The following is a 23,370-nucleotide window of genomic DNA, read 5'->3' as shown; positions in this document are numbered from 1 at the left end:
GTCAAATGGGGGTCATCCTAGCACCAAACCTAATGCGTTGCTGTGAGGAATCCAGCAGTTAGCAAGCCACCCACAGCAAGTGCTCAGTCAGTGTTCACTATTTGTATTACCTACAGCCACTGCCGTCTGGGGAACTGTTTGGTGACATGCCTATAAAATATTACCAATATTGGCTGGGTGTGGTGGCTCACGCCTATAATCCCAGCACTTTGGGAGGCTGAGGCGGGCAGATCACTTGAAGTCAGGAGTTTGAGACCAGCCTGGCCAACATGGTGAAACCCTGTCTCTACTAAAAATACAAAAATTAGCCAGGTATGGTGGCGTGCACCTGAAATCCCAGCTACTGGGGAGGCTGAGGCAAGAGAATCGCTTGAGCCCCAGAGGCAAAGGCTGCAGTGAGCAGAGATAACGCCACTGCACTCCAGCCTGGGAGACAGAGTGAGACTCTGTCTCAATAAATAAATAAATATATATATATATAAATATATAAAATATTATCAATATCAAACTGGTGAAAGTTAACTCCTTTTAAAAACTAGACAAGTTTCCTCAAATTATCACACGATCCAGCAGTTCCACTTCTGGGGCTATACACAAAGGAATTGACAACAGGGTCTTTTTTTTTTAAGATGGAATTTTGCTCTTGTTGCCCAGGCTGGAGTGCAGTGGTGTGATCTCGACCCACTGCAACCTCCACCTCCTGGGTTCAAGTGATTGTCGTGCCTCAGCCTCCTGAGTAGCTGGGATTACAGGCGTGCACCACCACACCCGGCTAATTTTTTGTATTTTTAGTAGAGACGGGTTTTCACCATGTTGGCCAGGCTGGTCTCAAACTCCTGGCCTTAAGCAATCCTCCCACCTTGGCCTCTCAAAGTGCTGGAATTACAGGCATGAGCCACCGTGCCTGGCCACAAGTTAACTATATAAATGCAATAGTCTCTATAAAATCCTGTAGTGAAATCCTATGATTTTGTGTTATCTTGGCATTCATTTTTAATCTTCCTCTAACACACCTGAGCTCCTTTTAAAATGCTTACTTTCTCTCGTTGTGCTTTGAATGAAATATAAATTTGCTACCCTGGTTTCTCAAAAACTCTGTAAGGGCTTCAGCTATAACTTGTTCCATTTACAGTGGCATAATTTAGTCTAACTGTCCTTTTAAACCAGTGAGTTTTGCCTATCTTGTGGCTAAAATTTAAAAATCAAAGCTATAAGATTTGTATTTATGTTTGTTTGTATTTGTATTAATACATGTGTATACATGTCTGTTGGTATACTGTCTACTTGGTACCAAACTGACTTACAAATAAGCAAGTCCTCATTATTAATAAGCCAAAGGCTGGGCGTGGTGGCTCATGCCTGTAATCCCAGCACTTTGGGAGGCCGAGGCATGTGGATCAGCCAAGGTCAGGAGTTCGTGACCAGCCTGACCAACATGGTGAAACCCCATCTCTACTAAATACAAAAAATTAGCCAGGCGTGGTGGCATGCGCCTGTAATCCCAGCTACTTGGGAGGCTGAGGTAGGAGAATCGCTTGAACCTGAGAGGCGGGGGTTGCAGTGAGCCAAGATCACGCCATTGTTACACTCCAGCCTGGGTGACGAGCGAAACTCCGTCTCAAAAAAAAAAAAAAAAAAAAAAAAAAAAAAGCCTAAATGCTTTTCAAGTTCACATGACTTTAGTAATCTTTGATAAATGAAACTAGTTTTAAAACTGTTGGTGCCCAGGCATGGTGGTTCACACCTGTAATCCCAGCACTTTGGGAGGCCGAAGTGGGAGGATCGCTTGAAGCCAGGAGTTTGAGACCAGCCTGGGCAACACAAGACCCTACCTCTATTTAAAATTTTAAAAACTCACAGAAAGTAGTTAGATGAAAAATAAAAGGCTAAAAAATAAAATGAAATAAACTTAATAACTTCTGGTAAAATAAGATAAAAATATCTGCAGAATTTCAAACATTTCTGCCTGGGTCTATAGGTCAGAGTAATTTATACAATCTTGGTTAGATGTTTTAAGGTCATAAAACTGTTGCTTCTGTGATTTTTGTTTCTTGTTTTTTTTTCTTTTTGTGAGAGAGTCTTGTTCTGTCGCCCAGGCTGGAGTGCAGTGGCAGGATCTCAGCTCACTGCAACCTCTGCCTCCCAGGTGCAAGCAATTCTCCTGTCTCCGCCTCCCAAGTAGCTGGGATTACAGGTGTGCACCACCATGCCAGTTAATTTTTTTTTTTTTTTTTTTTGTATTTTTAGTAGAGATGGGGTTTCACCATATTGGTCAGGCTGGTCCCAAACTCCTGATCTCAGGTGATCCACCCACCTCAGCCTCCCAAAGTGCTGGGATTACAGGTGTGAGCCACCATGCGTGGCCACTTCTGTGATATTTTTAATACTTGTTTGTCTGTGACGTCATGTCTTTGGTTTTGAGCTTTTAGATTCTAGGCTTTAGGCAGGTGGCCATGGTAAGTCCTGGTGACATATGCGTGTCCTCAGTGCCTAGGCCAGCAGCTGCTGAGCAGAGCTAAGCCCAATATCGTCCCATCCTCCCTGGCCCAGCTCTGCCTCCTGACCATGCTGGGAGGGGTTGGACCCTCCAGCCATGTCCTCACAGCTCTGTCTCTGTCTTGGGCTATGAACCTGGTACATAACAATTAAAATTGCTTACCCCCTAGGTTTTTCACTGGAAATCAGAGTTACTAAGAGTTAAAACTATAGTTAATACATGTAATTAAAACTACTGGCAGGGCATAGTGGCTCATGCCTGTGATCCTAGCACTTTGGGAGGCTGAGGCAGGCGGATTTCTTGAGCCCAGGAGTTCAAGACCAGCCTGTGCAACATGGCAAAATCCCATCTCTACAAAAAAATACAAAAATTAGATGGGTGTAGTGGTGCATACCTGTAGTCCTAGCTAGTAGGGAGACTGAGGCAAGAGGATGGCTTGAGCCTGAGAGGTTGAGGCTGAGGTGAGCTGTGATTATACCACTGCACTCCAGCCTGGGCAGCAGAGTAAGACCCTGTTAAAAAAACACACACACAACCCAATAAGAAAAACCAGATAAAAGAAAAACAAATTCTGTATGCAAAGTGTACAGAGAAAATAGGGTGTGTTTTTGGTAAGGAGGGTTACAAAAAAACATGAGAATGCAGTTTTGTTAAAGGAAAAGTAATTTTGTCTAGTTTACAGGTTATTTAAAGGTTGTTTTAAATTGAAAAAGTGAAAAATAAAACAATAGATATAGAAAGTTGGAGAAACAGACTCAAAAAGGTTTTTGTAAGAGGTTATAAAAGGTTTGTGGAAATCTTGTGTGGTCAAAGCTGATTAAGATTGGATGAATCTATTTTTGTTTTGTTTTGTTTTGTTTGAGACGGAATCTCGTTCTGTCACCCAGGCTGGAATGCAGTGGCACAATCTCAGCTCACTGCAACTTCTGCCTCCTGGGTTCAAGTGATTCTCCTGCCTCAGCCTCCCGGGTAGCTGGGACTACAGGTGTGCACCACCTTGTTCAGCTGATTTTTTGTATTTTTAGGAGAGACAGGGTTTTGCCATGTTGGCCAGGCTGGTCTTGAACTCCCAGCCTCAAGTGATCTGCCAGCCTCAGCCTCCCAAAGTGCTAGGATTACAGGCATGAGCCACCGTGCCTGGCCTGGACAGATCTATTTTTAAGCTGTTATTAAAATTAGCTTTAGGCCGGGAGCTGTGGCTCACGCCTGTAATCCCAGCACTTTGGCAACAAGAGTGAAACTCTGTGTCAAAAAAATAAAATAAAATGCAATAAAATAAAATCAGCTTTAACATACAGTAATATACCGATGCAAGGATAGAACTTGTTTTCTTTTGAACAAGATTTTCATGTGGTATTAATAAGAAATAGTAAATTTTGTCTTCACCTTTTGAGTAAACCGACAAAAAAAAAGGCAGGGGGGTCAGCATGTCCCTCTTGCTGTCTTTGTTAGGTCTTTTGATTGTTTAGAAAACTCAATCTCCTCTCTATCAAAAAGTAAAGATTTTGCTTTCTGACATCTTTTAATTGTCATTTTGGCTAAATGAATGACTATTGTTTTACCATGACCCGTAATCCTATTTTGATCAAGTGTTTTTTTGTTTTTTGTTTTGTTTTGTTTTGTTTTTTGAGACGGAGTCTTGCTCTGTCACCCAGGCTGGAGTGCAGTGGCGCAGTCTCGGCTCACTGCAAGCTCCGCCTCCCGGGTTCACGCCATTCTCCTGCCTCAGCCTCCCGAGTAGCTGGGACTACAGGCGCCCGCCACCACACCCAGCTAATTTTTTGTATTTTTAGTAGAGACGGGCTTTCACCGTGTTAGCCAGGATTGTCTCCATCTCCTGACCTTGTGATCCGCCCGCCTCAGCCTCCCAAAGTGCTGGGATTACAGGCGTGAGCCACTGCGCCCGGCCTGATCAAGTGTTTTAAACCTTTCTTATTTTGATATCAAGTGTTTCAAACCTTTTATACGTAACAAACTTCCCAAAATCAAATTTCAAATTCTAAATGCAGTCTGGTTTTGACCTCAAACTAACTTTTGGACGTTCCAAATAGGGCCCCTCCTACCCCCTCCCTGTTAAGTCATTGTGACAGACGAGGTCTGAAGATGCAACCGCACTTAGAAAGTCTTTTCCCCCAGATCGGCCGGGCGCAGTGGCTCATGCCTATAATCCCAGCATTTTGGGAGGCCGAGGCTGGTGGATCACGGGTCAGGAGTTCAAGACCATCCTGGGCAACATGGTGAAACCCTATCTCTATTAAAAATACAAAAAATTAGCCAGGCGCGGTGGCGCATGCCTGTAATCCCAGCTACTTGGGAGGCTGAGGCGGGAGAATCACTTGAACTCGAAGGGCAGAGGTTGCAGTGAGCTGAGATCGCGCCACTGCACTCCAGCCTGGGGGACAGAGTAAGACTCTGTCTCAGAAAAAAAAAAAAAAAGATTTTTCCCCCAGATCATGCCTGCCTCTTGGGCTCGTTCAGACTCCAGAGAGAATCATTTACAAGTTAATTTCTGTCTCCTGGGTCCGTTCTTTTTCCCTAATAACCATTTGCTGCCCCTCAGAAGAATCGTCCATATTCCCCATCTCCTCCCTCCTCTAGGAAAAGAGGGGGTATAATCTCCTATACCCCATTGCGGGGTTATGGTAATCATGGCATGAGTCTCCCTCACCCACATAATAAATTTGTATGCCTTTTCTCCTATTAATCTGTCTTTTGACATTTGATTTTCAGCAAATCTTCAGAGGGTGGAAGGCAGTCTTCCCCTTCCAAAGGGACATTCAAAGCATAGCAAGTCTTCATGGGATAAGATGCGTCCTGTGGTCCCAGCCACTCAGGAGGCTACGGCAGCAGGATCACTTGAGCCCAGGAGTTTTGAGTCCAGCTGGGGCAACACTGCAAGACCCTGTCTCTAAAAATAATAATAATAAAATTAAGTTAGAGGCCGGGTGTGGTAGCACACGCCTGTAATCCCAGCACTTTGGGAAGCTGAGGCAGGCAGATCACCTGAGGTCAGGAGTTCAAGACCAGCCTGGCCAACATGGCAAAACCCCATCTCTACTAAAAATACAAAAAAAAAAAAAAAAAAAGCTGGGCATGCTGGTGTGTGCCTGTAATCTCAGCTACTCAGGAGGCTGAGGCAAAAGAATTGCTTAAACCTGGGAGATGGAAGTTGCAGTAAGCTGAGATGGTGCCACTGCACTCCAGAGCAGGACTCCGTCTCAAAAAAATAAATAAAATTAATTAATTAAGTTAGAATATTTTTTTGAATATGAAATAAGTGTTTTGGTTTTTTTTGACAGAATCTCGCTCTGTTGCTCAGGCTGGAGTGCGATCTCAGCTCACTGAAATGTCTGCCTCCTGGGTTCAAGCAATTCTCATACCTAAGCCTCCCAAGTAGCTGGGATTACAGGCATGCGCCACCATGCCCAGCTAATTTTTGTGGTTTTAGTAGAGATGGGGTTTCACCATATTGCCCAGACTGGTCTCGAACTCCTGGCCTCAAGTGATCCGCCCACCTCGGCCTCCCAAAGTTCTGGGATTACAGGCGTGAGCCACCACGCCCTGCTGAAATAAGTGTGTAGCTGCTATAGATCCTCCTCTCTAGCTTGGATGGGGCCCAGACCATTCCATCTCAGTAGGTGCCTCCCCAGGTCACTGTCTGCTCGCTGTCTGTCCCTTCCTGGGTCAGCAAATGTTATTCATATGTTCACAGGCTTCCCATCTTCCTCCCTGCCCTGCTAGGCTGTCAGCTCTGGCAGGGGGCATCTATCCATTTTATTCACTCCTGTTTGCTCAGCATCAACTACCACCCTGGGTATGCAGTTAGCACTCTGTGAATGAATGAATTCTCTCTCAGAATCCCTAATTCCTCGCAGCTGATGAGCCAGAGGTTGGTTCCCAAGGTGGGCTGGTATTGCCTCTTCAGTGAGGTGCAGATGTCGGTGGGATCCTGGGCCAACTCAGGAAGGTCAGTGTCAGGCAAGACTGATGCCCCAGGAGCTTTGCAGAAGAGACCAAGTCCCAGACAGGCCAGACATAGCTCTGGAGGCATCAAGCATGTCATTGTACTGCAATGCGTGCGGGGGGCTTGGTGTTATCTAAAAGATCCAGGAAGGGGCTGCATCAGGGGCCCAGGAGGGACAGCAGCTGCTTGTGATTCTCTCCCAGCATCTCCACACCCTGGGGGCCTCAGACTCCTGGGGCCTTAGCCACTTCCAAGGCAGGCCACAAGCTTGTGGTGGCTCACAGAGATAAGAGAAGCACACCTGGGGCTGGGAGCGGGGGCTCATGCCTGTAATCCCAGAACTTTAGGAGGCCAAGGTGGGTGGATCACCTGAGGTCAGGAGTTCGAGACCAGCCTGGCCAACGTGGTGAAACCCCATCTCTACTAAAAATACAAAAAATTAGCTGGGTGTGGTGGTGGGCGCCTGTAATCCCAGCTGCTCGGGAGGCTGAGGCAGGAGAATCGCTTGAACTCAGGAGCGCAGGTTGCAGTGAGCCAAGATCGCACCATTGCACTCCAGCCTGAGCAACAAGAGCGAGACTCTGTCTCAAAAAAAAAAAAGAGAGAGAAGCACACCTGGAAGGCTGGGTGCTCTCCGACCCACTTCCTGCACGGACACCTCTTCCCGTGACTGGGCTCTGCAGAGTCGAGGCCCTGGCTCCCGGGGCATAGACCAGGAATGGTGCAGAAACCCTGGCTGACTTGTGTTCCTGAAAGGCGCCATCTTGCTTCCTTCTTTTCTTCTTCCGGGTGATGCTACCAGGAGACACAGAGGTCCTCCCTCCAGAACCAACACTCAAAGGAACTGATGGATGGAATACAGTTGTGTAAAATAAAATCATATGGCACGAGGGCTGCCATGACTCAGCAGGACAAAGAAGAAATGGACAAAGGGTGAGAAGATGCAGTCCTTTCCCTGAGTAGACAAAGGAACATGGAAAGCCGGGCACAGTGGCTCACACCTGTAATCCCAGCACTTCAGGAGGCCGAGATGGGTGGATTGCTTCAGCTGAGGGGTTCAAGACCAGCCTGGGCAACATGAAGAAACCCCATATCTACAAAAAATATGAAAGTTAGCCTGGCATGGTGGCACATGCCTGTAGTCCCAGCTACTTGGGAGGCTGAGGAGGGAGGATCGCTTGAGCCAGGGAGGTCGAGGCTGCAATGAGCTTGTGTTCACCCCACTGCACTCCAGCCTGGGAGACAAAGTAAGAACTTGTTTGTTTCAAAAAATAAAAGAGAAACAGGCCAGGCACGGTGGCTTACACCTGTAATCCCAGCACTTTAGGAGGCTGAGGCATGTGGATCTCTTGAGCTCAGGAGTTCGAGACTAGCCTGAACAACTTAGGGAGACTTCTTCTCTAAAAAAAAAAAAATTAACTAGCCAGGTGTGGTGGTGCACACGTGTAGTTCCATCTACTTGGGAGGCTGAGGAGGGAGGATCCCTTGAGCCTCGGGGATGGAGTGAACCAAGATTGCACCACTGCACTCCAGCCTGGGTGACAGAGTGAGACACTGTCCAAAAAAAAAAAAAAAAAGAAAGAAAGAAAGAAAGAAAAAGAAAGAAGAAAGGAAAAAATAAAAGAGGAACAGAGAGTGTGGTGCCCAGTGCTTCTGGGTCCAGTGGAGTAGGAAGGTCCCTGACTGCTGAAGGAGCTCACAGTGATGTTTGTTGAGCGTTTCTATGTGCAGAGCACTGGACCAGGCACAACCTGTGCAATTCACCTAACCCCCTTCCTAGGAAGGGCCTTGTGACAGAGGCTCTGGGACTTTTCACATCTTACACATGAAGAAACTGAACGGCACAGAGGTTCTGGTGAGTCTCACCCCTGGCTGCACTTTATTTTTATTTATTTTATTTTAGAGATGGGGTCTTGCTCTGTCACCCAGGCTGGAGTGCAGTGGCACAATCATAGCTCACCGTTAACCTCCAACTCCTGGGCTCAAGTGACCCTCTCACCTCAGCCTCCCGAGTAGCTGGGACCACAGGTGTGTGCCACCAGGCCCAGCTAATTTTTGTATTTTTTTTGTAGAGATGGGTCCTTACTATGTTGCCCAGGCTTGTCTCAAACTCCTAGCCTCAAGCAGTCCTCCCTCCTGGGCCACCTAAAGTGCTGGGATGACAGGCATGGGCCACCACACCAGGTCCCTGACGGCGCTTTAGAATCCCCTGGTGTGTTTGTCAGCACAGGGTACATTCTGCAACCATAACAAATAAGCCCTAGCCCTTGGGGGCTTTACTCTAAGATTTTATCACTTGCTCACAAAAATAAAACCGGCTCACATCAGACAACCGTGGAATACTGTGAAATATACTGGGTCTTTGTCCCCTGTTCTGGGCATAGAACACCTAAAACCCTTGGAATTTCCAGAGTCATGGGATTGTCTTTTGTGATTCATACGTGCCCTTTTGATCACAGCTGAGTTTATGCTAATGAGATAAATTAGGGTAGGGCCCCCAAATAACCTCAGATTGGGGAGGGTTTGCAGTCACCAGAAAGACCAAAGGACTCCAGGGCTGGAACTTTCAACACCTCCTGCTAACCTCCAGGAAGGAGGGACGTGGTGACTAGAGATTAACCTCTTTGAAAACTTTTTTTTGGCCGAGTACGGTGGCTCAAGCCTGTAACCCCAGCACTTTGGAGGCCGAGGCGGGTGGGTCACCTGAGGTCAGCCTGGACAACATGGTGAAACCCCATCTCTAGTAATAACACAAAAAAATTAGCTGGGCGTGGTGGCAGGCACCTGTAATCCCAGCTACTCAGGAGGCTGAGGCAGGAGAATCGCTTGAACCCGGGAGGCAGAGGTTGCAATGAGCAAATTCGGCACCATTGCACTCCAGTCTGGGCAACAGAGCGAGACCCTGTCTCATTTTTTTTTTTTTTTAATTTTTGTCACCCAGGCCCACCACCTCACCTGACTAATTTTTAAATTTTTTGTAGAGAAGAGGTCTCCCTGCGCTGTCCAGGCTGGTTTGGAACTCCTGAATTGAAGGGATCTTCCTGCCTTGGCCTCTTCCAAAGTGCTGGGATTGCAGGCGTGAGCCACTGCCCTCAGCACTAAAAAACCTCTTGAACAACTAGATCTGATGAGCTTCCAGGATGCTGAACAGGTGGAGATGCTGGGCAGGTGGCATGTTCAGAAAGGGGATGGAAGCTCCGTCCCAGCCCCACCCCAGCACACCCTGCCCTGTGCATCTCTTCCATGTGCCTGTTCCTGAGTTTGTGTCCTTTCTAATAAATCGGTGAAGTGTTTCCAAGTTCTGTGAGCTGCTCTAGCAAATAACGGACCGTTAGGAGAGTGTCGTGAGAACCCCCAACTGACAGGCAATGGGTTAGAAGTGCTGGAGGCCTGAGCTTGGACTTGGGATTGACATCCGAACTGGAGGCAGTCTGTGGGACTGGGCGCTTAACCTGTGGGGTCTGTGCCAACACCAGGTCGACAGAGGCAGCATTGGATTACATTGCAGGACTGCCCAGCTGGTATTTGGAGAACTGCTTGGTGTGGAAAAAAACACCCACATCTGGTGTCAGAAGTAGAAAAACACAGTGTGTTTTCCCCCAGTTGGTGTCAGAATTGTGAAAGGAAAATAAAATCTGGAGACCCCAAACCTGCTATGCCAAAGGGAAGGGCTAAGCTGGGAAGCCAAGTGACACAAATCCTGCCTTTCCTTTTGTTCCTAAACACAGAGCAACAAGATAAGAGGCCACCCGTGAAGAGAGGCCACCCTGACAATGTCAATTAACAGCTTATCTTCACAGGCATGGAACAAGAGGAGACTAGAAATGGTTCCCACTGGCCGGGCGCAGTGGCTCACGCCTGTAATCCCAGCACTTTGGGAGGCTGAGGCAGGCAGATCACCTGAGGTTGGAGTTCGAAACCAGCCTGACTAACATGGAGAAACCCCATCTCTACTAAAAGTACAAAATTAGCCAGGCGTGGTGGCACATGCCTGTAATCCCAGCTACTCAGGAGGCTGAGGCAGAAGAATCGCTTGAACCCGGGAGGCAGAGGTTGCGGTGAGTCGAGATTGGAAAGAAAGAGAGAGAGAGAGAGGGAGGGAGGAGGGGAGGAAGGGAAGGGAAGGAAAGAAAGGAAAGAAGGAAGGAAGGAAGGAAAGAAAGAAAAGATACCTGCCATCACCACCCACCTCAATGCATATTTGACTTCTTTCTCATAAAAATGTAGTTTTATTGAGCTCGAGAAGAATACATAATGGACTGTTCCTCTGCCTCCTTTTCACATGCAACGTGTGGATTCAGTAGGTTTAACCAAGACCTCAAAACAATGTGACTGTACCCTCCCTCTTTTTTTGTTTTGTTTTGTTTCGTTTTGTTTCGTTTCATTTTGTTTCTGAGATGGTGGCTCTGTGGGCCAGGCTGGAGGGCCATGGCATGATCTTGGCTCACTGCAAGCTCCACCTCCCAGGTTCAAGCTATTCTCCTGCCTCAGCCTCCTGAGGAGCTGGGACTACAGGTGCCCACCACCACACCCAGCTAATTTTTGTATTTTTAGTAGAAATGGGGCTTCACCATGTTGGCCAGGCTGGTGTCAAACTCCCAACCTCAAATGATCTGCCCACCTTGGCCTCCCAAAGTGTTGGGATTACAGACATGAGCCACCGTGCCCAGCCCTGCCCTTTTTCTTTTTAATTTTTTTAATTTTTTTTTTGTAGAGACAGGGTTTTGTTATGTTGCCCAGGTCGGTCTTGAACTCCTGGCCTCAAGCAGTCCTCCCACCTCAGCCTTCCAAAGTGTTGGAATTACAGGCGTGAGCCACCACACCCAGCCTTATAGCTCACATTTTGATGAAAAGAGCCACATTCCACCTCATTTTAAAGCCAGAGCCCCACCCCAAAGTGAACATGGAATGTATGTTACATGCATGTTTACCCATCGCACGTGCACTCAACCCCCATTATGAACAAATATAGCTTTTCCTCCAAACCTGCTGAATACGTGTGACTCTGCTGTGTGATACGGGCCCTGTGAGTCATCAACCTCACCTGCCCTTTCCCTCTTGGAAGACAGCAAACCTTCAGTCCACACCGGAGATGACCTCTCCCTGATTTGCAAGCTGAAATCACCAGTCCAGCTCTTTCTACTATCTGGCCATCCTGGTGGCCTTTTGGACGACAGGCTGCTAGCCTCAGAGCTGACTCCCAAGGGCAAAATGACGCAGGAATAACAGAAAGTGCCTCTGAGAACTCTGGTCACCAACAAGGTGGTCCACAGCAGGGAGGACAGAACCAAGCGACTGCCAAAGCCAGGCCGTGGAGTGTGACGGAAGGGTTTCATTTTGTAGCTCCATGTTTTCTGCTTCCTGGGGCGCCTTTAGGAAAATGGATTCTGGCAGTAGCTGATTTAGGATCAGTGTCTTCAGTTTTAAATGCTGCAGGGTGGAAGAGTGTGTTTGGGTTGACACAGCACCCGCAGCTCACCATGGGACAATCACGGGGAGCTGTCCCTGATTCAGACACGCAGGAGGTGACTCCCAAGGGGACAGCTGGACTGCTGGACTGGGTAAAAGTCACTGTAGGGTCTGTGTACCCTGAGAAAGGTCCCTGTTCCTTTCCTCGTCTACATGCCAAGTCAAATGTCTCAGACGGAGCAGCTCATCAGATTTGAACACAAGCCATTTGATGTTGGCTTTGTGATGAACAGAATGTGTTTCTACTGGACATGCCCATTACCCAGGTCATGGAAAACGCTGTGTGTAAGGGTGCTTGTTTGTTTGTTTTGTTTTGTTTTGTTTTGTTTTGTTTGAGACAGAGTCTCTCTCTGTTGCCCAGGCTAGAGTGCAGTGGCATGATCTCAGCTCACTGCAACCTCTGCCTCCCGGGTTCTAGCGATTCTCCTGCCTCAGCCTCCTGAGTAGCTGGGACTACAGGCACACACCACCATGCCCAGCTAATTTTTGTATTTGTAGTAGAGATAGGGTTTAATCATATTGCCCAGGCTGGTCTCAAACTCCTAGACTCAGGCAATCCTCTCACTATGGCCTCCCAAAGTGCTGGGATTACAGGCATGAGCCATCACACCCAGTCTACCTGGGACTTTGGACTAGAAAATTTCCATTGGAGGGGCATTTACTAACTTGCTGTTAGACATTAATTGAAGCTACCTCATGACTGAAGGACATAAAATAATCTTGAAACCTGAAATACCTACAATACCTTGGGTGACATCACAGAAACCCTCTAATGGAGATGACAGCGCCAAGAAAAGTTCCGTAACAACACGAAAATGGTTCATATAGGATGGTGAACCATCCTATATGAAGGCAAGGATGGGGACTCCTTGCTGGGGAAGGCAAGGAGGAGACTCACAAGCAGGGAGAATCCCCTGGGACTGACTCTGGAACTGTGTGAGGAGCTGCTGGATGTTTTTTTTAACTTTTATTTTAGGTTCAGGGATACATGTGAAGGTTTGTTACATAGATAAACTCATGTCGCAGGGGTTTGTTGTACAGATTTTTTTTTTTTTTGAGACAGAGTCTCGTTCTATCCCCCAGGCCAGAGTTCAGTGGCATGATCTTGGTTCACTGCAACCTCTGCCTCCTAGGTTCAAGTGATTCTCCTGCCTCAGCCTCCCAGGTAGCTGGAATTACAGGCACCTGTCACCGCGCCCAGCTAATTTTTGTATTTTTAGTAGAGATGGGGTCTTGTCATGTTGGCCAGACTGGTCTTGAACTCCTGACCTCAGGTGATCCTCCCACCTCCGCCTCTCAAAGTGCTGGGATTACAGGCTTGAGCCACCACATCCGGCCTGTTGTACAGATTATTTTATCACCCAGGTATTAAGCCCAGTACCCATGTATCTCACGTTGCTAATAAAGACATACCCCAGACTGGGTTATTTATTTATTTATTTAGAGATGAAGTCTCACTCTGTCACCCAGGCTGGAGTGCAGTGACATGATCTCAGCTCACTGCAACCTCTACCTCCTAGGGTCAAGTGAGTCTCATGCCTCAGCCTCCCGAGTAGCTGGGATTATGGGCATGTGCCACCACATCTGGCTACTTTTTGTATTTTTAGTAGAGATGGGGTTTCACCATGTTGGACCGGCTGGTCTTGAACTCCTGACCTCATGTGATCCACCTGCCTCAGCCTCCTAAAGTGCTGGGATTACAGGCTTGAGCCACCGTGTCCCAGGAGACTGAGTACTTTATTTTAAAAAGAGGTTTAATTGACTCACAGTTCAGCATGGCTGGGGAGGCCTCAGGAAACTTACAATCATGGCGGAAGGGGAAGCAAGCATGTTCTTCTTCTTATGGCATCAGATAGGAGAAGTGCCAAGCAAAAGGGAGAAAAGCTTTTTATAAAACCATCAGATCTTGTGAGAACTCACTCACTATCATGAGAACAGCAGCATGGGGACAACCTGCCCCATGATTCAATTACCTCCCACTGGGTCCCTTCCACAACACGTGGGGATTGTGGGAACTACAATTCAAGATGAGATTTGGGTGGGGACACACCCAAACCGCATTAACCCGATAGTTATCTTTTCTGCTCCTCTCCCTCCTCCCACCCTCCACCCTCAAGTAGACCACCCTCAAGTAGGTCTGTTGTTTGCTTCTTTGTGTTCATAAATTCTCATTTGAGCTGCCGGATTTTATCATCGCTTGGGGAATGCCCCATACACAGCTGTCAACTGGCCAGGAAAGAGCTGCCTGGTTAGTGGTGAATAGGAAACATCCGGTCTGGAGGGATGCCACTGTGATCAAAGAAGGGTGGAAACAAATCAGCTTGGTGGGCTGAACTGCACACTGTTTTCCTGGCAGTGGTGGAAGAATTGAAAGGTAGGCCGGGCCCAGTGGCTCACGCCTGTAATCCCAGCACTTTGGGAGGCCAAAGTGGGCAGATCACTGGAGGTCAGGAGCTTGACAGCAGCCTGGGCAACACGGCGAAACCCCATCTCTACTAAAAAATACAAAAATTAGGCAGGCGTGGTGGCAGGTGCCTGTAATCCCAGCTACTCGGGAGGCTGAGGCAGGAGAATTGCTTGAACCTGGGAGGCAGAGGTTGCAGTGAGCCGAGATTTCACCACTCCACCCCACTCCCTGGGTGACAGAGCAAAACTCCATCTCAAAAATAAAATAAATAACATAACATAACATAACATAACATAACATAACAAAACAAAATAAAATTGAACAGTGGTGGGAGCCCCTGTGTTTAGGTTTTTACTGGCTCCTGGGCAGCGGCCGCATGGTCAGGCAGGAGGGTGGTAGAAACCTGGCTTATTGAAGGGGTGGCCACGTGGGGCGCGGCCCTGTGGAAATGTGGGGGTTCCTTCAAGTAGGACACATCGATGCCCATCAGAAGAACTTGTGCGTACTGGCTTAACGTGGCCACCACTTGGGACCGCGAAATGAATGGGTGTGGGGGGAACTGCCGCAGTGCAGGGATGGGCTGAACTGAACCCTGCTGATGAGTAGGTTTCCTTCCCCAGGTGGCACCATCCTGTACAAACCATTTCCATGTTGTTAGGAAACTCTTCTTGGCACTGCCATCCCCACTAGGGGGTTTCTCTGATGGCACCCAAGATATTTGTAGGTATTTCAGGTTTCAAGATGATTTTATGTCCTTCAGTCATGGGGTAGCTTCAATCAATGTATGACTGTTGCGATAAACTGAGGAACAGAGGAACCAATACAGAGTACAGGAGGATTTGTTTATTTTAGGTACGCACCGGCTCAGAGGATTCACATCCGAAAGCTGAGCCCTGAACAAAGAGCAGGGTTTTTATAAGCGGTCTTACAGAAGCAAAATAAAAACAGTAGCAAAATAAAAGCAGTTAATCATACAGTAACAGGTCACGTAATCTATAGCATAACATAATTTGTGACCTAGCCAGTGGCCTTGTAGCTGCATTAAAAGAAAAATAAGAACTGGCTAAATACAGACATTTGTAAAACATAATCATGCTAATCATGCTTAAGAAGCCTGGGAAAAGAGTAACAGTAAAAGAACCTGTCTTTCTTTTTTTTCTTTCAAGCTTGCTCTGGAAGGGAGGGGGGTGTCTGGAGCCCATTCCTTTGGCCTTGGCTATTTGGACAGCGTTATCTTCTAACTTTCCTTAAAGTGAGCTGCTAGGCAAGAGGAAAACTTGTTCTTTTCTTTTTAGCCTTTGCCTTGCCATATTCTGGGCCTTAGCTTTTACTTTTCTTGGAGTGAAGAAATGCAGTATTTATTATTATTATTATTTAAATTTCTGCCTCAGTTTCTCCCCTTTGATGCCTTTTATGAAATAAGTTTAATAAAAGGCATCACTATTACTTAGTTCTGCCTGAAGAGACAAGTTTTCTTCTTTAGACAAAGGTTGATATTTACACAGAGCTATTAGCTGAGTTGTAGTTTGCCTGGCTACTATTGCCTCTATAGTTGATTGAATACTTCTAACAAGGAAAGGTAAGAGACAATGGAGTATTATGCAGCTTCCCAGTGTGGCCAGCACTACTCCTATTAAAGTCTTGAACTCTCCAAAAAATGAAAACCAGTCTCCAAAGAGAGAATCTGGGGATCACCTTTTCTAAGTTTGAACTGGAACACTGGCTAATTTTCTCATTCTTGCAGTTATTTCTATAATTGCTTTTCCGCTGTCATCGATGTCCAGGCAACAATTAGTTAGACTGAACTTTCCACATACTCCTCCTTCCTGGGCTAGGAGGTAGTCTAAAGCTAATCTGTTCTGATAGGTAGCGTTTCTCAATGTTGTGGTTTGCTGGGCCAGTACATCTAATGCATTTGTTGTTTCATTGGTGATGATTTCAAGTTCTGCCTGCAATCTTATGATACGGTTAAGCATGTAGATAGGAGTGCGGTCTCCCTATGACCTATCTTGTGCCCAGGTAGCTGGCCTATAGTATGGAATTATTTTTTCAGGGGGCTAATTTGTGCCTTTTCAATCTCTTATTTTTATACCTCTTTGTGTCTGCATCTCTTTTGTTTCTTCTTCTAACTTCATCATAGACAGGGTACCTTGAAGTTTTTCCCTGTTGCAGTGGGAGTAGGAAGAAAGATGGTCTAATCGTTCTAAGCACACCTCTGTCCATTTAACTGGCAACTGTCAATATGCCTGTAGCCTACAGATCCAATAAAGACGGGGGGTGCTTGCCAAGTATTTGGAGCTTCAAGTTGATACCAAGTGTGGTTTAGAGAAGAGAAACAGGAGAACAGATTTGGATGAGGTGCTTTGTAGTCATCTCTGCCCTGCCACAAAGTTTTCCTTAATGTTTCATTATAATATTGCTGTCTTAAGCAGGTTAGTTCTCCTACTGGGTCTGTAAAAACTTTTCCCTAGGGAGCAACACAGTATCTGCTAATAATAGAAGTTTTTAAGAGCTAGACGCTTGAACTTGTGCGTGTCTGTTTGGGGAAAGAGAGAGTCAGAGTAAAGTTATCTTGAGGCATTAACTCTTTTGCTTCCTGAGGCTATTAGTCTCCCATGTTAGTCCTTCTACAAACATAACATGAGGAAATGCCTAGGCTGCATGCAATGTTTTTAGCCAGCTGAGCAAATAGGTTTTTGGCTAAAGGAGGAGGCTCTGGTAACTTTTGGTTTATATGCTCAAAGAATGACTTAAAGACTCGGAATTGCTGCTGAGCTGACCGCTTGGTTTGAGTCCTCTTTAGAATATACAAAGTTATTTTAGTTTTTTGACTGTAGCTTTGTAATGCCATGGAGTAACCTGCAGTCTATATAGGTAGATCTGGCTTTAAGATAGTAAGATTTACAGGATTGCAAGTGCTTGTCTTACAATCCGGTTTTGCTGGCACTTTGATGAGCAAGATTGGCTTTAGCCTCGGTGATGATCGGTCAGTGAACTGCGTTGTGCGGTTCCAGCAAGCTATCGCTAGGGCCTCGGAGGGGCAAACGGGGTGCACATGCAATTTTGTACTGGCAGTTTGTATAGTACCCTGTAGGACCAGAGATTGTGAGATAGTTCACAATCTCTGGTTCATGGATGTTAACTGACAAATATCAAAGTATATGGATATAGCCACCCCACCCCCCGCCCCCGGGAAGAGAGGCTTGGGTTCAACTTACAAAACTTCCTCCCTTTGACTCGGTATGAATCTCAAACCAAGTCCCAGGTAAACACTTAGGGTCATAGCATATATAAGGCTGGCCATTTCCTGGGTCACAGGTTGAATAGGTGGTTTGATTATAAGTACAAGTTCCTAAGCGAGTCCCTGTACACTCATAATAAGTATAGTGCAATAGGGTTCTAGTTATACTGTTCCCTGACCAAGTAGTATGTGTACAGTGGGGACACCTTCTGTAGGTGTTTCTTCTACATGGTTAAGGGGGGTAACAACAAAACAATGTACAGCATATTCATATCCAGCAAGGACAAAAAAGGTCCTTACCTGGGAAAAAGGTTGAGCACAGCGACAGAACAATAGTAAAACAGTTAGTGTACACGAAAACCACTAGTCTTAAGATTTTAGCTACATTACTTGCTTGACAAGTCCTCAAGTTTCAGCCGTGCGTAGACTAGTCAGCCTCCAGAGTGACTAGAGCAGGGCTGTTGTCCTCAGCAGCAACTCGGTCTCATCTAAGGATCAGCCAGGTTGGATGATCTGGGTCCTGCTGGCTGGTTCACTTGTCCTGAGCTGCCAGTGTTAGCCGACTGTGGTGGATCCAAGACATAACACCTGCAAGTTAAACAGCAGTGGGAATGGACAAGATTACGATATAGGACCCATCCTATATGGATCCTAGAGAAATTAGGTTTTACTTTCTAACCTAAACAGCGTCACTAGATTTAAAAGGGTGTCGGGCTTATAGGCATTTTCATGTACCTAATTATGAACACTTTGGCTGTTTCAAAAACCTGCATTTGCTTTCTTAAAGTTAATTCCCCTAGTTCCTGGAGGTCACCTTTAATTTGACCTATGATGTAGGAGTGGCCGACCAAAAAAAATCTTATAGGGCAAATACCCAGTTTGTTTGGTGGGGGTGCACCTGACTCAGAGGAGGACCATAGCCAAAAACCTGATTCTATCTTAAATGAATTTCCTGGCAATATTTCTTCAGTAGCTGCTCGAGTGTCCGGTTCACGCCTTCCACCTTCTCCTGAACTTTGCAGCCAGTAGGCCGTGTGTAACTTCCATTTTATTTTTAACAGTCTTGTTAAATCTCGCACTATTTCAGCTACAAATGCTGGCCTATTGTCTGACTTTAAAGTTAGAGGCAGTCTAAACCTGGGAATAATGTCTTTTAACAGTACTTTAGTCACTTCTTGTACTTTTTCTGTCCTGGTGGGGAAAGCTTTAACTTACCCTGAAAAGGTGCAAACAAGCACTAGCATGAACCAATAACCTCCGGCACGGGGAGGTTCTGTGAAGTCTATAAGCAAGTTTTCACCAGGCAGGGCTCCTTCTCCTGCTGTTTCCCAGAGGAGGGGTTCTTTTTCTTCCCCTTTTGTAACTCCATCTAGTGGCTTAGCCATCAGTGAGAAATTGGAATCCAGATACAGCAGAATCCTGCTGCCTTTAACTTCTAATGTGACCATGGGCCCCTGGGTGCCTAATGAGAAGGTTCCCGGTCTGTCCTGTTCCTTACGTCCTTCGGCTCCTGCCAGCCTGATCAGATCAGTATTTGGTTCCCCAAGGTGCGGCAGCCCTTGGCCGATGGCCTCTTTGTCTCGTGGTCTTGGCTATTTCCCTCATTGCCTTCTGAACACTCATCCTTCCAGTGTCCTTTCTTTTTGCATCGCGCACATTAATCTCTTTCTTTTTCTTTTTCTTTTCTTTTTTTTTTTTTTGAGACGGAGTCTCGCTGTGTCTCCCAGGCTGGAGTGCAGTGGCGCGATCTCGGCTCACTGCAAACTCCGCCTCCCGGGTTCACGCCATTCCCCTGCCTCAGCCTCCCGAGTAGCTGGGATCACAGGCGCCCACCTTGTCTGGCTCTTGAATCCATTCCTAACTTGACTTTTTTCCACGTCTACGTCCGCATCCACGTCCTCTCACATTGCTAATCTCCCTTTCCATAAGAGCTGTTGACAACAGATTGGCCTTTTTCTTAAGCCTTCAATTTACTTTCCTTTTTCTTTCCTGAGTTCTGCTCTTGCGGCCAGCCGGTGGGGCCGGACAACGGCACGGGCCCCGCCCCCGTGCACTGCCGCCTGTCTCTCCTGTTTTTTTCTGATTTCCTTTTTACTTTCTTCTTTCCCTTCTCACACTTACTGTTACTTTCTCCTTTCCTTTTCCTTTGCTCTTCTCCTGGCGCCAAGTCCCTGGCCCCTTCTTTTTCCAGATAGAGCCGGGCTGGGGAGAGGAACTTAATGGTGGGCGTGCTTAGCTGCCGCGCTTGTGGCTTTTGCTCTTTCCCGTTTTGTTCCTTGGTCACAGTTAACATACACCGTGGTGGCCACTTTTATGGACTGGGTGGTATTCATGCCTGCAGCTTCCACTTGATGTCACCCTGGGCTTGCCCTACGAATGAAGTATTCCCCATAGGCTGATGTTCAGCAGCCTCACAGTTAAATGGGGTACAAAGCCGGAATGCTTCACAGAGTCTCTTATAAAACTGACTTAGGCTCTCATCAGCTCCTTGAAGCACTTCTGAAATCTTCTTTATATTCATTGCTTTCCTTCTACCAACTCGTAGCCCCTGCAGAAGTGCCTCTTGGTACCTCTGCAAACGCTGAAGCTGAGTTTCATCCTCTGGGTCCTAGTTGGGATCCTGGTCATCATAATAGATAGGTCCTCGTGTCCCCCTGAGAGGCATTTGCATAGCTCCAGCACGGCCAGATCTGAGATGGCCCACTTGACTATCTTGACCTCCTTCCTGGCCTCTCAAGGCTCTGATCCTCCCCTTCGAGGTGAGACCTGGGGCATGTTAGCTCCTGAATCTGGTTCCTGGGGGGGCTGTCGGCCTCGGTAAAGCGGGGGTAGGCTGGGATATATGGAGGAAGAATTTCTGTTACCTTTGGTGGCTCCTGTAAAACTGGCTTCTCTTGCTGTCTCTGGGATTCCCTTTTAACTCTGTGTCTGCCGGCAAAGCTGCTCTTATTTTCACTTTTGGTTTTTTTTGCAATAAGCTGTTAAACAGGCCTGGATCAATGCTGGGTTTGGCTATATTATATTTAACTATGAGTCAATATAAAGAAATTGATCCAGGTACACTGGCTGTTCTCCAACCCTTGTCACCACCTTAAATACATGGCCAATTGTTCCCTGTCTGTAGTTCCTTCGGTCAGCCATCCAACACCAGAAGAGGGCAATTCTAATTCACCCAGAGTTCTCAACCTCTGAGGGGGTTAACTCTATAATCCCCTGCAAAACCTTTCTTAAGGTTCCGTAACATGCACTCCCACAGAGTAAGTTTTGATGTTTTGATGACTTTCCTCCCATTCCTCCCTTTACAACGCAGCACATTCACTCTTGCCTACTCACTCTTCCTCTCGTTTCGACCAACCACACTGTCTCCTATTATGGGGGTTTTCAGATGCTGCTTGGCTTTGGAGAGGTCCTTATTCCTGCTGCAACTCTGAGCTGTAGGGCAGCTCCTATTAGCCATATGCAGATCACCACTAGTCTTAGTCGGCCCCACCCTTTCTCGGAGCACACAGTCTACACTAAGGGATCTGTGACTCTTCACTTCGCAGCTGATGCGCCTAATGAGGCCTTTTCATTCACACACTTCCACACACCTTCAGTTCCCATGTTTGTAACTGGGGTGGCAAGCCACTCTCGCCCCCTCTAGTTCCCAGTTGGGGTGGCGAGCCACTCTTGCCACCTCCAGTTCCCTAGCCGACTTGGCGAGCCACTCTTGCATCCTGTGTCGGCGGGGTGTGAGTTTCATCCAAATTGACAAGCCACTCCAGTCACCCCCAGCCCCTCTGGTTCGGACTATTTGGCACACCCCGGGAGATGATCAGGCTCCCTTCTGTCCAAGGGACGGGTCCTGCCTTGAGCCCCCAAAACCTTACTGTGGTTCCTGAAGCGCGTTGTTTCTGAAATCATCCTGTAGTCCCTCTTTAGGTTCCGTTTCGCTGCTGGGTAGGGGTGCCAGGTCACAGGAGAGCTGATCTCCCCCCCAGGCTGAAGTTCTCCCGGTGGCACCTGGGGTCACAGGTTTCCTGAGACCCTCGCTCCAGCCCCCAGAGGCAAAGGAGACAGTAAGCCTGCCGTCTCCAGTCCCTTCGTGGTTGCCAAAAATGTTGCGGTAAACTGAGGAACGGAAAAACCAATTTGCAGTACAGAAGGATTTGTTTATTTTAGGTACGCACCGGCTCAGAGGATTCACATCCAAAAGCTGAGCCCTGAACAAAGAGCAGTGTTTTTATAAACAGCCTTACAGGAGCAAAATAAAAGCAGTAGCAAAATAAAAGCAGTTAATCATACAGTAACAGGTCACGTAATCTATAGCATAACATAATTTGTGACCTAGCCAGTGGCCTTGTAGCTGCATTGAAAGAAAAACAAGAACTGGCTAAATACAGACATTTGTAAAACATAATCATGCTAATCATGCTTAAGAAGCCTGGGAAAAGAGTAACAGTAAAAGAACCTGTCTTTCTTTTTTTTCTTTCAAGCTTGCTCTGGAAGGGAGGGGGGTGTCTGGAGCCCATTCCTTTGGCCTTGGCTATTTGGACAGCGTTATCTTCTAACTGTCCTTAAAGTGAGCTGCTAGGCAAGAGGAAAACTTGTTCTTTTCTTTTTAGCCTTTGCCTTGCCATATTCTGGGCCTTAGCTTTTACTTTTCTTGGCGTGAATAAATGCAGTACTGATTATTATTATTATTATTATTTAAATTTCTGCCTCATGATAGCAAGTGAGTAAATGCCCCTAGTCAGTGTCTCTCTTGCACCGTCTGAGGCATAAAATGCCAATAAGGACAGTGCTGTCAGCCAGCAACAGAGACAGACATTGCTGCTGGCTGTGTGGCCAATTCCCTGGGGTAGGCCCTGGACACAGCTGCAAGTCAGGCTGATGCCGGAGCCCTGGGTGTCGGCTCGGGACTGGGCTTGGCTTGCCTGGTGGTGGATGCAAATGCTCAGAGTGCATAAAAGAAGGAGAACAGAAGACACTGCACCAATTTGGATGGTGGGGTCACATTTCCTCAGCCCGAGGAACATCCTGTGCACCCCATCATGTCCAACGATGGGCAGAGAGTTATCCTCAGGGGAATAGTTGGGCAAAAAATTGGAATGGGCAATTGAACTGAAACATGGGTTGTCTAAAACACGGGGAGATAGGCCAGGCGCAGTGGCTCATGCCTGTAATCCCAGCACTTTGGGAGGCCAAGGCAGGCAGATCATGAGGTCAGGAGATTGAGACCGTCTTGGTTAATGCAGTGAAACCCCGTCTCTACTAAAAATACAAAAAACAAATTAGCCATGCGTGGTGGCAGGTGCCTGTAGTCCCAGCTACTCGGGAGGCTGAGGCAGGAGAATCGCGTGAACCCGGGAGGCAGAGCTTGCAGTGAGCCGAGATTGGGCCACTGCACTCCAGCCTGGGAGACAGAGCGAAACTCTGTCTCAAAAACAAAAAAACAAAAAACACACACACAAAAAAAAACACGGGGAGATAAAGCCATAAAGGGCTGGCCTACATGCCTTCACGGGTGTGTGTGTGCCTGTGCGTGTGTGCGCATGTGTGTGCATATGTGTGCATGCGTGTGCTCACACTCAACATGAATGGGGCTAGAGGAGAGTCCCCACTAGACATTCCTCTAGTGGAATCTGGGGAGGAGAAGGCAGGGGCGATGCTGGAATGATGACTCTCTCTTTATATATATATATATATATATATATTTTTTTTTTTTTTTTTTTTTTTTTTTTTTTTGAGACGAAGTTTTGTTCTCGTTGCCCAGGCTGGAGTGCAATGGCACGATCTCGGCACACAGCAAC

The 23,370-nt window shown here is 47.0% G+C and overlaps 1 long non-coding RNA gene across 1 annotated transcript; it reads right to left on the bottom strand.

The window, feature by feature from the left end:
- Positions 1-15,160: 15,160 nt before the first annotated feature.
- On the bottom strand, positions 15,161-21,349 carry LINC02701 (long intergenic non-protein coding RNA 2701). The gene is made up of 2 exons (XR_950253.3): positions 18,794-21,349; positions 15,161-18,166 (listed from the first exon to the last, which is right to left on the bottom strand). It is a non-coding gene; the product is annotated as a long intergenic non-protein coding RNA 2701 (long non-coding RNA).
- Between the last annotated feature and the right edge of the window lie 2,021 nt (positions 21,350-23,370).

This window comes from Homo sapiens, chromosome 11, assembly GCF_000001405.40.
Source record: "Homo sapiens chromosome 11, GRCh38.p14 Primary Assembly".
NCBI lineage: Eukaryota > Metazoa > Chordata > Mammalia > Primates > Hominidae > Homo > Homo sapiens.
Note: the sequence above shows the minus strand (reverse complement) of the source record. Positions and strands in the feature narration are given on the sequence as shown.